At 39.1% G+C, this 14,302-nt stretch overlaps 3 protein-coding genes and 1 pseudogene across 5 annotated transcripts in view; 1 reads left to right on the top strand and 3 right to left on the bottom strand.

The window, feature by feature from the left end:
- Positions 2,334 to 13,856, bottom strand: CAVIN4 (caveolae associated protein 4). Of its 3 annotated transcripts, XM_047423346.1 has the most exons (3): positions 13,768 to 13,856; positions 12,172 to 12,534; positions 2,334 to 4,958 (listed from the first exon to the last, which is right to left on the bottom strand). In XM_047423346.1, the coding sequence occupies exons 1-3, from the start codon at positions 13,786 to 13,788 to the stop codon at positions 4,272 to 4,274; spliced, it is 1,071 nt and encodes a 356-aa protein (XP_047279302.1). In that variant the 5' UTR covers positions 13,789 to 13,856; the 3' UTR covers positions 2,334 to 4,271. The 3 variants fall into 3 exon arrangements, with proteins under 3 accessions (XP_047279302.1, XP_047279303.1, NP_001018126.1); XM_047423347.1 differs by lacking the exon at positions 12,172 to 12,534; NM_001018116.2 differs by lacking the exon at positions 13,768 to 13,856 and having other exon boundaries at positions 12,172 to 12,644.
- On the top strand, positions 9,344 to 9,582 carry RN7SKP87 (RN7SK pseudogene 87; annotated as a pseudogene).
- MSANTD3-TMEFF1 (MSANTD3-TMEFF1 readthrough) overlaps positions 13,087 to 14,302 on the bottom strand; it is a 135,731-nt gene continuing 134,515 nt past the window's right edge. The window contains exon 10 of the mRNA NM_001198812.1: positions 13,087 to 14,207. Within this exon, the coding sequence (NP_001185741.1) occupies positions 14,123 to 14,207 (85 nt within the window). The 3' untranslated portion in view covers positions 13,087 to 14,122. The remainder of the gene's footprint in view (positions 14,208 to 14,302) is intronic.
- The window catches only part of TMEFF1 (transmembrane protein with EGF like and two follistatin like domains 1), a 104,488-nt gene continuing 103,272 nt past the window's right edge, over positions 13,087 to 14,302 (bottom strand). Inside the window, exon 10 of the mRNA NM_003692.5 lies at positions 13,087 to 14,207. Within this exon, the coding sequence (NP_003683.2) occupies positions 14,123 to 14,207 (85 nt within the window). The 3' untranslated portion in view covers positions 13,087 to 14,122. The remainder of the gene's footprint in view (positions 14,208 to 14,302) is intronic.

Genomic DNA, 14,302 nt, shown 5'->3' with positions numbered 1-14,302 from the left:
TCTAGAAGACGGTTACACAAATAAACTGCAATACAGAGCAAGTGCTAGGGCAGATGCATAATCAAAATACTCTATAAACAGCTTCCATCTCTGCAGTTCCATCATCTGATACATAGCATTAGTCACACTGCTGAATTTTTGCTTGTCTCCCAGAACTGTGAGCCTGAGATATGAGATAGGAAAGGGTGGGGAAGAAGAAACTTCCATTCATCTTTGAATCCTCAGTGCCTCACACAGAATCTGTGTGTGTGTGTGTATATAATATACATACATATATATATATGGAGTAATTAGTCCTGCCCTTCCTAGGGATGAAGGGACCAGGGAAAGCTAAAATTAGGGAATTGACATTCTCAGTGAACTTGAAGGGCATCTCTCAGAATGAAAGGGAAAAGTGGTGCTCCAAGACATACAGCATGGGCAAAGGCATCAAGTGGCAGAGCATTTGGGGAGGGCATTTTGACAAAAGTGGTTGATTTTAGGAAGATGCCCAAAGTAAATTCGAACTGTGAGGATATTCTGCCACTCCAGTCTACCCTCTTAGGGATCCTTGGATGTCCTAAGAGATGCACAGTGAAGTGGTTATCCTAGATCTCCTAGCCACTGCTTATGAAATACAATGACGGATTCTGACCTGGGAAGGACAACTACAAATCCTGAGACAACATAATTCAGAGGTGGCCACAAGAACAACACACAAAATTTAGCATGAAGCTTTTTCATTTTTTATTCACTACAGACCAGGGACTACCATGCCCCAAATTCAAACAGAATTGAGGATGAGACCATAATGGTCATTCCGCCGATTTGGGAATCATGATCTATAATTTTCTTAGCAGGGTTCAATAAGCTATAGTAAACATGTCTCAGAAGAAAAATGAGCCCAATGATTTCATGTAATGGAACTGCACAGTTAACAATGGTTCTGTGGAATATTTTACATAACATGACTCATGCTTTTTGGCTGATAGAATCACAATGAACTGCAGGTCTTGGTCTAAACCAAACCCTTTAATGTGCATAGAAGGCAAAGAATGAAATCAAAATGTTTTGTATTTTTATCTCGATTTGTAGTTTTAATTTATGGAGGCTTCGGGGAATTCACACACACACACACACACACACACACACACACGCACACACCACAAGTACACTTTCAGCAAGCTGAATGTACTTTTCTTTTTTGAGAAGGAGTCTTGCTCTGTTGCCCAGGCTGGAGTGCAGTGGCGTGACCTCGGCTCGCTGCGACCTCCACCTCTCGGGTTCAAGTGATTCTCCTGCCTCAGCCTCCCAAGTAGCTGGGATTACAGATGCACACCACCACGCCCAGCTAATTTTTGTATTTTTAGTAGAGACAGGGTTTCACCATGTTGGCCAGGCTGGTTTTGAACTTAAGTGATCCGCCCGACTTGGCCTCCCATAGTGCTGGGATTACAGGCATGCACTACCACACCCGGCCTTGAATTTTCATGTACTTTGTTGTTTGCCCTGCTTCTCTAACCTGTAAGCTACAATCAGGCTATCACCCACTCAGAGGAAAGACCTGGATCATCGCGTGCCGGAGACAGACTTGCACCCCCCTACTCTATCCTGTCTACTCTGCAGAAGAGCCTGAGTGGCTCCATGCCCCCTGGTGTCTATAGATGCTACACTGTTCTATCTCAGAGCAAGGAATCTTGCCAATGGTTTTATTTGAATACACTGTTTAAAATCTGGTATGTATAATTTCTAAAATACACATGAATAGGTAAAATAATTTGTCCCTGTTATCTGAAACTTTAAAAATACAAACACTGACTAGAATATTCCTGATGTCAAACGGGACGTGTGACTTTGCAGCCCATTATTTTTATACCAAGAAAATTAAGTTAAAGGAATAATAAATTATGAATGTAGCATTTGGAATGTCCCAAATATGGGAAGAAATGTAGAGAAACAGAGCAACATGGAGGGAAAATCCTAGTACCAAGAAAGCAGTACAAGGTTACAATAAACCTCCAGGGACATGAAACTGTTTAGTGTTTTGGGGTTGCACAAAGTCTACCATGATGAAGAGCTGACCAGGTTATAACTCCTTCCTCATCAAAATTCAAATACAGCTATATGTGAAATGTTCCATAAAATGTCAAGTCTGGTTATATATGAATCAGTAAGCAAACTGACTTTACAAAAATTCCATGACAGTAATGTTTGCAGAAAAATATTTCAGGTCAACTGATATTTATTCTGCATAGGGCTAGAAAAAAGAAAAAGCTTGTAACTTCTTTACATTCACTGTTTGCATTATTAGTAAAAATATTTATAGGACACAAACATCAAATGTTGTAATAACATTTTCTTAAATTCAAATTTATTATGGTTCTTAAGAAAATATGTGATTAGGCACCCAAGATCTTTCCAAAATGTCATAAAAACATTTTAAAATTATTCATTTGAAAGTGTTATCCAATGTTGTATACACTTTAGTTTTCAATATAAAAAGGTAACAACATGAACGATATTATGATTTCATGTATTCATGCAAGGTGAAGAGGAAATGATGCTGAATCAGACTCCCAAACCCAAACATCTGAGTAACTGAGTCAAATATTTTAAAGCCGATTTATGTATGCCTGTGTGTATATGTGTACACTTATTATTTTAACTACCATATGATTATCCAAAAACTGATCTGAAAGTGAGAAAAAAAGTGGGATAGCTGATCGTTGTCCCAACTCTTCAAATTCAACAATTTCATCATTTCTTCTCTATTACAACACCATGCTACATTAAACATCCTTCAAGTACAGAATCAGTACTACCATTTCTTTCTTTTCTTTTTTTCTTTTTTTTTGAAACAGAGTCTGGCTCTTTTGCCCAGGCTTGAGTGCAGTGGCACAATCTCGGCTCACTGCAACCTCCGCCTCCTGGGTTCAGGCAATTCTCCTGTCTCAGCCTCCTGAGTAGCTGGGACAGGCGCATGCCACCATGCCCAGCTAATTTTTGTATTTTCAGTAGAGTCAGGGTTTCGCCATGTTGGTCAGGCTGGTCGTGAACTTCTGACCTCAGGTGATTCACCCACCTCGGCCTCGCAAAGTGCTGGGATTACTCCCCGTGAGCCACCACACCCGGCCCATTTCTTTCTTTCTTTAGCAACAATAGACATTGTTCTACTTCCTGGATTCCACGATCTAAAGCTAAAAGATAAGGAGAATCTGGCTTCCTCCCAAAGCAGCTATGATGAACTCCTATCAACACTGTTTTGGACAGCTGGACCCTGAAGGGTACACTCAGGAAAACAGGAATATTTGTGGTCATTTCCAAACCCAATGCATCAGGGCCGACTTTAGAAACATAGTCACAATTTTATGCCTCATACTGCTTAAACAAATTTAGTGCTATAGTCCACCAAAGATCTTAATCAAAAGGAAATTAGAAAGGGTCTGGCTGGGGAACATTTTGAGACCCAACTAAAACCCAAGATATAGTTAGTCTGATGAAAAAGTGGTCACCCAAACATTTACTTATTTTTCACTCTTGATTCTGTGAAAAGGCTTCTGAAGACCAGCTTTAGTTTCTCTCCAACCTAGGACCTTATTGATTGGTGCTGAGGGCTTTTTCAGAAGGTGTAACTCTTTCCATTCTGTTTTGGAGGAACTGATGAGGCTTGTTTTCTCTGGGTGTGCTTCTTGTTCCCCCAGAATGTGTACCATTTCCTTTGATCATCACAACAGTCCTCTGAGGCAGGCAGCAGAGGCCAACCCTCTCCATTTTTACTGATGAGAATAAGCAGATGACTTGCCCAGGGTTTTCTTATAAGTAAAGCTATGATACTAGAGCCAAATGCTCAAGTCCAAAACTTCAATTTTTTAATGTGAAAGCATCAAAAAAGGGGTGTGACTGCTAATTTACTAACAAATCTGTTGATCTGAACATCTGGACGATATAACCCACACATGAGTTATTCCCCTTTGAGGCTGGCCACAATATTAATCCTAACCAATATTTAGAGTTCTCCTGCAAATGACGGCCGCAAAGTTGCCCTTACCAAACACGTAACTGGCCCAACCTAGGAAACTATTTTTCTGGTGGACAAGAGAAAGGAACTAAAAAATCCACAGCTGCCATGAGAAAGAGTGATAATAATATTTATATTATCTTCAAGATTTTAAATATAAGAAAAAAAATACATTTATGTTTTCCTACATGGCACAGAAATGTAGACGACTACACTATTCAAACTAAAACTGCATGATTAGGAGATTCATATTTAGGATATACTTAATTCCTCTTTACGATGAGTGCTTTAAATCTAACAAAAGAGATTCATCATCCTCTACTTTCACCTGAGATTTAAAAGTAACTTTTAAAGGCTCGGGGGTGGGGATTTCCCTTCCTTCATGGGGAGGATACACCGGCCTGGCTGCCTCGTGTTCTGGTTCACTGAGCTCATCAGAGTAGAGCTCACTGATGGGGCCCAGAGACTCGCTCCTGGCAATGATGTCCACACCCATCTCCCTGGCACATTCCTCACCTTCAGCCACTGTTCGGTCCTTACCTTTCCTGAGGCTGCGCATCTTAAAAGCTTCCTTTGAGGGAGCTGCATTAGAAATAGATTTCTTAAACCTCTCCCCTGACTGTCTCAGCCTCTCCCCTGACTGTCTCAGCCTCTCTCCTGACTGCCTTAGCCTCTCTCTCCTCTCCGGGGTCACTATTCTAGTTCTAATTCTGTTCACTTTCTTGTCAAGATTCTGCCGTGTCTTCTGCATGTTTTCTTTGGAAAATGCCTTCTTGATATTATCAATGTGCTCCTTGCCTGACTTCCTAAGCCTGGCAGATCTGCTTTCTTCAACATAATATTCTTCATCCGAAGACAGATCTACTGGGGGATCAAAGATATCATCATCATCCTCTTCTTGGTTCTCAGTTAGGTTTCTGTCTTTAACAACAGACAGGGATGTCGGACACCGAAACTTCTCCTGAAGGAGAGAAAAAACAAAGCATATTAGTGCTTCCTTTGCACTATAGAGCAGCTCTTTTACCTTCTGGCCATGCCTTGTAAATCTCCATGGGCTGTTTATCCTCTGCCTGCTCCTTAAATGTTACCATTTCTTAGGGTTTCTCTTACCTTGGCCCTTTCCTCTTCTTCATCTCCCAGGCTTACCCTGGGCAACCTTAACCACTCCATTTTTCAGATCCAATTGTAAGTAAACTCACATGTATTTTATCTTCACTTTCCTTCTCTCCTAAGATGAAGACACATGTGTGAATGATGGGCAGACTGCTCCACAGTTTGAGGTTACACAGTCATCTTGAACTTAGCAAGTCTAAAAATCAAGGCCCATCCACCATCCTCTCCATTTCTACTTCTTTCCCTGTACCTCTCAGCACTAACACCTATCCAGGTGCCACATAAGATAGAAACACCTGAATCATAATCCCAAATATTTCCTCTCCTTCTCATTCCATATCCAACCAGCCACCAAGCTTTGTTGATAATACTGCCTAACAACTTATCTGTTCCCTCCTCCTTCTTCATTCCCTCTACCAATGTCTTGATTCCGGCCCTTGTCGTCTCAGTCCTGAACTTGCGCAATGCCTCCTCACTGATCCTTCTACCTCCAGAACATCAACTAAGTATTTTCTGAGAATATTACTAAAGCATAGCTTTGATCACATCTTTTCTCTGCTTTAAACTTTGGAGAGCTCACCAATACTCAACGAAGAGCTCAAATTCTTCAGTATGATTAGAAGGCTCCTCAGCTTTAGCTAAACCTACTTTCCCACTCTTCCAGCCCAGAAACATACAATCACTCTCAATTCCTCAAGCACAAGATGTTTTCATCCCTCTACGCCTATGTATATGTGATTTCTGGTATCTTCTTCTTTTCATAAAGACGGGGTCTCACTATATTACTCAGGCTGGACTCGAACTGCGAGACTCAAGGAATCCCCCTGCTTCAGTCTCCCAAGTAGCTGGGACTACAGGCACATGCTACCATACCCAGAAGTTTCTGACATCTTAGGTTCCCTTTCACCTCTTTTTGGCTTTGTAAATGAAATCTTTCTTCAATAATCAATTCAAGTGTCCCCAACTTCCTCAAGTGGCTAACTCTATCTCAAATTTACACATACATACCTCTGTTTATAACATTTAGCACAGTTTGAATTGAAGCTTTACTCAAAAATATGTATCTCCCAGAGGTCTTCTCCAGATTCCTTGAAAGCAGAGATCATGTGTCTTATTTATGTTTTATGCCCAGCATCTATCAGAGTGTCTTGCACATAGTAGGCATACTCAATAAATGATTATTGGATCAAACAGGTGTATACCTTCCTTCAACAAAGTTATTAAGCAACACCACAAACCAGTAAATTTTCTGGTTCTAGAAACTGTGAAGCTTCTTTGAAGACAAAAGAGTGAAAGAGCTTATATTCTCGGAGAGGGACAAACAAGTAAAATCTATATAGCATGTTAGATGGCAAGATATACACTAAGGTGAGAACTAAAGCAGGGAAGGGGAATATGCAGCGACAAGGAAGGTGCTGTTTGAACTACAGTGGTCAGAAAGGCCTCATTCATACGGTGACATCTAAGCCTAGACCTGAAGGCTGTGTATAGATCTGGGAAGAACAGAGAAACAGTGGGGAGGGCCGTGTGGTGACAGCAGAGTGATGAAAGGGCAAGAAGGGGAGGCAAGAGGGTAAGAGAGATAGCAGGTGGTCCAGGTCATGCAATGCTCTGTATCCAATGGTGAGGTCTGAGCATAAGAGGAAGTCTTCTAAAAGCCTTGCAGGAAGCCGGGTGCAGTGGCTCACACCTGTAATCCCAACACTCTGGAAGGCCGAGGCAGGGGGATCACCTGAGGTCAGGAGTTCGAGACCAGCCTGGCCAACATGGCAAAATAGTCTCTACTAAAAATACAAAAATTAGCCAGGTGTGGTGGGACATGCCTGTAATCCCATCTACTCGGGAGGCTGAGGCAAGAGAATCACTTGAACCCGGGAGGCGGAGGTTGCAGTGAGCTGAGATTGTGCCACTGCCCTCCAGCCTGGGTGACACAGCAAGACTCTGTCTAAAAAAAATGAATGAATGAATGAATGAATGAATGAATGAATGAATGAATAAATGGCTTGCAGGAGAGTAGTGCCAGGATTTGACCCACATTATAAAAGCATCACTCTGTTGAAAACAGGGTGTAGGGGCAAGAAAAGAAGCAGGGAGAACAGGTGGAGAACACTGAGGCAAGGGAGCACTGGGTAAGGGTGCTGACAGGTTGGGGGTGAGAAGCAGTCTGATTCGGAGCTGCTTTGAAGGTAGGAGCCAACAAGATTTGCCACTAGATTTGGATGTGGAGTGCCAGAGTGTCAAGAACAATCCTCAAGTACATGGCCTGAGCAGATGAAAGATAGATCTGCCATTAATTGAGATGGGGGAGACAGCAGGAGGAAGAGACTGGAGGGGAAGGATGGGATCTGAACACGCTGTCTTGGAGACACCCACTAGCCATGCAGGCAGAGGCACTGAGCAGGCAGCTGAGTAGATGAGTCTGGAATTCAGAAGAGAGGGCTGGGCTAGACACCCAAATTTAGGAGTCATTGATGTAAAGATGGAATTAAAGTCATGAGACCAGATGAAAGAGATCACCAAGAAACTGAGTGAATGGGTCTATGCTCTGTTTTACTCAGAATTCCTTGGCACCAAGGTGTGTTTCAGAATTCAGAATATTTCAGACTTTGGAAATAATATGATTTATTACATAACATTCCCAGCAAGATCTTGGAAGAAACATTTCTGTGGCAAAAAAAAATATGAATATTCACACTAAGTTGGGATAAAAGCTAGAAATAGCCTCCTGCTACTTTAGGTCAGGTTTTTCCACTGAATAATTTCAGGTCAAGTTAGGTCTTGCTGTCAAATATGTTATTAAAAAATATTTTAAAGAATTTTTGAATATGGGTGTTACAGAGCATGGATTTTGGACTGGTAGAAGGAAGAAATGAGAAAAGAAAAAAAAGGACAGATATCAGCCAGTGAGGCAGGGGGAACTCCCAAAGAGAGGAGTAACCCCAGAAGTCAAGAGGAAAGAAGTTTCAAGGAGAAAGGGAGGGGCTGGGTGCAGTGGCTCATGCCTATAATCCCAACATTTTGGGAGGCTGAGGTGGGAGGATCACTTGAGGCCAAGACCAGCCCAGGCAACAAAGTGAGACCTCCACGAAAATTTTAAAGTGTAGCCAGGCAAGGTGATGCGCACCTGTAGTCCCTACTACTTGGAAGGCTGAAGAAGGAAGATGGCTTGCCCCCAGCAGTTGGAGGCTGCAGTGAGCTATGATTGCACCGTAGAACTCTAGCCTGGGCAACAGACCAAGACCCTGTCTCTTTAAAAGAGAGAGAGAGAGAGAGAGAAAGAGGTCCAATCGTGTCAAATGTGTCAAAAGAATAAGGATGAGAATTGGATTTGGGACATGACACACACTGGAAACCTTGAGAGCCAGCCCAACCACAGCAGCTAGAGGAACCCAACTGAATAGGGAGCATTTCTCAAACTAAACAGACAAAAGTTGAAAAATCATGAGATTTTTAACTGAACCACGAGTTAAAATTTCTAAAAGAAACTGTGCCCCCACGTGAGATCCAGATTAAATCTATTCAATCAAAAAATATATAAATATATACAAAACACATTTATGCATATTCCAAAACCTATCAGCCTGATAGTCAAGAAGATATCCCTGGAACCTTATTTCTTTGGATACTTATTTAAAATTAAATTCTTTGGCTATAGGATTAGAGAGTCTAGGAGCTAAAAAAGGCAGGGGTGGGCGTCTCATAGCTCTCTGATGAATCAGTTTGAAGCAGCGAAATTATTCCTCTCCTTTCCTGACACCTGCTGCAGGGAGTAGCTTCAGCAACACAATGTGGGTTGGCACGGCCTGAGAGGGTATAATTAGAAAACGAAAGAGCCAAAAGTTAATTACTGTTAGATAGGGGAAAAAACACAATCTTGCTGTGAAGAAATCAGATATAGCTTAGCCCAGGAATCACATACCCTCCTTTAAGTACACAACAAATAATATAAAATCAGGCTTTAAAGTAAAACAAAACAGGAGTAGAGTCAGAAAAAAGTACTTGTTACGCAGATCTATTAGTTGCAACTCCAATGAGACAGCGACATCATGAGCTAATGGTGAATAGACTGTTATAATAACTGAAGATTGTAGATGTTGAATTATAGTTGACTTCCAAATATAATTGTATCTTTTAATATAAAACTCCAGGTAAAAAGACCATTTTTGTAACAGAATGAATACTGTGCTTCAGAGTACTGTGGGCTGGATTGAACATCAAACTAATATAGCTATGGGATGTGAGGGCGATTGGCTGCAACATCTGTTAACCCACTGATTGCCAGGGTTGATTCAGCTGATCTGGCTGGGCTAAGTGGGTGTCCCCTTCCTCCCTCACCGCTCCATGTGTGTCCCTCTCGAAGCCGCACGCTTGGTCGAAGAGGATGACCATCCACGATAGAGGAGGACCAGTCTTTGGTCAAGGGTATACAAGCAGCTGCACTCCCCTGCTAGAACTTCCAAACAAGCTCTCAAACTAATATAGCTAGGGAAATTCTGAATATACAAAAGTCTGAGGCTTATTAGTGAAGATATAGTATGTTCGAAAAGAAATAATAAATGTATAAGAAATAGCAGGTAATTTTTACTATGGCTGAATTGCTTGGTTTCAAGTTAATTTTAGCAGAAGGAGCAATCTCAATATAACCATTTATATACCTTAACTATGATGATTAATTATAACTAATTTTAACTGCTAAGAATAACCATGTGACCATGTATACAGCTTTCTAACATCTAATGAATCTTTGAATCAGAGTTCTATGTCCATTATTCTTTTCTCTACGAGCTGTTCCATTATAAATGATAGCAATTACTTTTTGACGAACTGCTGCTACTCTGAACAACTTAATTATGCAGAATCTTCATGGCATTATTTCTTACAAGAGAAGAGATGTGCCCTAAACTAGCACCCTTCAGTTGCTTTAAATAACTACAAGGGATCAAAGAAAGGAACAATTAGCAGTAAGTTACAGGGACTAAACAGGTGAATACAGAAACATCTTAAAGTTTAAAGAAGAGTTATGTCAATCAACAGAGTCAATGGAAACTTTTCAGAAACTTCTTTGCTCTTGCTTTTGTAAATCTTAATTGGCACTTAGTCCACTGCTTTGCACAAAAGTTCTCAGCAGTCGTGAATGCCAAATATGTTTCCTGGCCATGCGCCCATGCCAGTGGAGGGTAAGATATACCCACAATTCTGAACATCTTCAGAAGGCAAATCAAAGAATGGATACTACATTTCCCACTACATATACTAACACTGGAACTGGCCTCTGAAAATCAGGTGACTGATTTTTTTTCAATTTTTCAATTTTTTTTCTTAAGACAGGGTCTCACTATCACCCACGCTGGAGTGCAGTGGCACAATCATGGCTCACTGTAGCCTCAACCTCCCCACAGGTGACCCTCCCACCTCAGCCTCCTAAGTAGCAGGGAACACAGGCACGCGACGACACACCTGGTTAACTTTTCTATTTTTGTAGAGACAGGGTTTTGCCACATTGCCCAGGCTTTTTTTTTTTTTCCCAAATTTTTAAGCCTATAGAAGGACTTCCAGGGACATGAAAGGAAAGGGAAATGATAAAGAACTTCAAATAGCATAGTCTGCCCTATCTACCTTTGAAATAAGCAACTCTTCACTCTCCTATTACTTTTCCTAAATAACCTACAGGCTCTTAAAAACAGACCTAAAATACCACTCCACCATCCCAGTGTAACCTTATCAGTCAACAGAGGGCTATGGAGAATTGCCTAATGTGTAAAGAATGCCACGGGGAGTTATGGGCCACATCCCTCGTGTTTTACAAATTATCCTCTACATAATCCAACTGTGTTCCTATTTCATTTAGTTTATATTCTTCTAGTTTTTTTCCTATGTACATAAGTACTCATTTTTAAAATACAGGTGTCATTTTTAAAAATAACACTTTATATGCATCAGTGAACATTCCTACACACATTCCTGATTTTATGCATAGAACAAATTCTTTGACATAAATTTTGGGGCCAAAAAGTTTGTGAATTTTTAAATTTCTTAATACATACTACCAAATCTGCCTTTCAAAAATGTTTTATCAATTAATATTTCTACCAACAGAATATGAAAGTGTTTTTTCCCAATCCTTAAATTAACCTCTGGGTATAGGTTTTAATAACTGCCAACATTTAAATAGGTGAAATTAGAATTTTATTCTTATTTGTGTTTTGTAAACTGCCTGATAATGACAGTTTCCCACTTTTCTACTGTGAAGGAATGTTCAATTTTTTTCCTTTTAACTGTAAGAGTTTTGAAAATATACCATAGATATTATGCATTTGCCATAAATATGTTCCTATTTCCAAAAATATGAGTGCCAAGCGCAGAATAATATGGGAACTTAGCTCAATACACAATGCCACACACAAAATATTATATTAAATCACTTAAGTAAAAAGACTTTGTAATCAAACATAGGAAACTACTTATGTGACTCATATATTTGTATTACTATAATAATAAGAAAAATAATTGCCTCATTGTTCATTGGAAAATCGCTATCATTGTGATCTATATGTAAAAATTCCAATACACAAATCACATTCTGAAAAGTTTATATCTACTGTTTAGGCCTTTCCAGGCTCTCCATATAAGCAGAAAAAACCACTGCTACTGGTTGTCAGTTTCTTCTTTTAGAGAACAAAGAAGTGTTTTAAACTAGAGGCTTCTGAGTCTTCTTCTAGTTCTAACATTTTCAAAGTCTATGAGAGGGCTTCATGCTAATAAGGCTAATATGCTGAAAGGGCCTTACCAATATTAAGTTTCAAAGGCAAGAAATAGCCTAAGCTATGAGCCACAGTTCATATTACATGAAATGGTTGAGAAGCTCAAAATACCGAAATGACAGATAGTACTTTGGTTAACAGAGAAATGGTTTTATCCTGAGATTGCTGCTAATACAGAACTCCATTGTATTAATATATACAATAGTTAAGATGTGACACTGGAAACCTCTGATATGACTTTTGGCAATTAAAAGATGCAAGAGATTAGAACAAGCAAGCTGAACACAAGTGCAAGCTTACCTGGAATATTACCACGCGGAATTTGTTTTTCTTCATTATTTCCTCTTGCTTGACTTCAACTTTTTTAACATGAATTTGTTGCTTCTCCACCCGGGCTTTCACATCTTTAATGTGAGCACTAACTTTTCGGGTTTTCTCAAACAATTTGTTAATGATATGCCCTGTATTGCTATGCGACTGTGAAAGCTTCAACAGGTCAATCTGGACGGATTTTATGGCATTTTCCATTTCCCTGTGTCTCTCTTCTATTCTCTTCTGGCTTGCCTGCACACTGTCCACGATGGAGGCTACTTTGTCCAGCACAGTCACAATGGTAAGAGCAGCGTCTTGGTCTTCATCTTCTGTAACACTCGACAGGCGATTCTGGTGGATTTTATCAGCATTTGAAGCAGACCCATTATGTTCCATTTTATTTATTTCTCAGCGTAAGATGTCCTAACCACAATCAATTCTGGCACTTGGAGCAAAAAGTCAGCTTGATAACAGGCAACAGGGTTGTTTAAAGAGTTGGAAACCCCACCCCTAGAGAACGGTCAAGTATTTATAACTACAAATACCCATATGTGACTGTTCTGCAATCTGAACCCTTGCAAAGCACCGGGGACTGTTCCAAACATGCTTGCTGACTGACTAAGGGACTCAAATAAGACTGTGTGGGTAGAAGAGTAAAGCTTTTTAAAAAAGTTCACTAAAGCCACCATGTAACTAATATTAAACCTAGAAGCCAAATGATCAAAAAAGCAAACTCCAAATGTTGGGTAAAGCTTTTGCCTTTAGATAATTTCAATCAGTATTTGTAACAGTAAAGGGGAATTCTGAACCGAAATCTGCTTTTTCTACTAATTTCACATATTAAATATACTGAAACACCAATATCAAAAAATTTGGTAAATAAACACACCAAAACAGAGGCCATATAGTGAAAACATTATATTATAACATGCTTTTCCAAACAAAATATTAAAATTAATAATTTTTAACATATTCTTTAAATTCTACATGCATACTTTTGAATATCTAAACTACATGTTAAACAGCTGAATACATTCTACTCACACTTCAGATCTTTAAACACCAACAATCTATGAATATTAATCTATTACTACAGGACAAATTTGGATATACGTCTTGGATAAATTTTAAGCTCACTTTAAGAGCACCAATCATTAACAATCATTTTTGTATTTTATTCACAAACACTGATACGATTTGTTTATTTATGTTAAAACAAACATTTTCTTTAAAAATGAATGTGTATTAAAGTAGTTTAACTGGTAGAATAGGCTTTATTCCAATCTGTTTGTTAAACAGCCTATTTTCACAATATCTATATCTACTTTTCATTGATCTGTTCCATCATTACTAACATATTTGTTCAAATTATTAGGACTATTTTTTCAAAGGGAGGAATAATCAAATTCCCCAGTCCATATATCTTATAAATATTTTACACCTAATACACACAGCTTTACAGTTCATGCGATAGGCAGTGTCTAAAAAATCAGTTACTAAATCTCAAAAACATTTAAATATCTATTTAAACACAGTGTCTTCTAGATTTTTTTTGTAAGAAAAGTAATCTGTAAACATCTTTACCTTTAGTTCATGCTTGGTCATTTGCTGTGGTCATTGTGGAAGAAGTGGATATGACTTTATAACCATTTGTGAAGTAGTCCATCTTTGCAAAAATATTACATTCCATGGGTAAAGAACAAGTCTTAGAATTACCATGTGGTACAAATTTGTGAAAGCAATTTCTGTATTTAAAAACATAAAACAAAGACTACTAAACAGTCCAAAACTGTCGTAGCTGAATATTCTAAATACGAGCCAACAGTACTACACTAAAAATGTCCAAAAATAAGGCCTCTGAAATAAATATTTCCATTCTTTAAAAAAAGACATAATAAATGTACATCACATGGTCAGTGTACATATAAAAGTCATCAGTTTAAACCATTCTGGATGACGTATCTGAAGTAAAATGACCTAGGTTTTGCTTCTGTCGACGTCCTCTATTGTTTTTGGGGCATTTTCTGTTGCATTAAAAAAAGAAAGAGAGAAAAATATTGTTTTGATGATTTTGTTCAGGATATTTCAAATGTTTCCAAAGTAATACACATTTTGCACA

The sequence above is a fragment of the Homo sapiens genome, chromosome 9 (assembly GCF_000001405.40).
Source record: "Homo sapiens chromosome 9, GRCh38.p14 Primary Assembly".
NCBI classification, from domain to species: Eukaryota; Metazoa; Chordata; class Mammalia; order Primates; family Hominidae; genus Homo; species Homo sapiens.
Note: the sequence above shows the minus strand (reverse complement) of the source record. Positions and strands in the feature narration are given on the sequence as shown.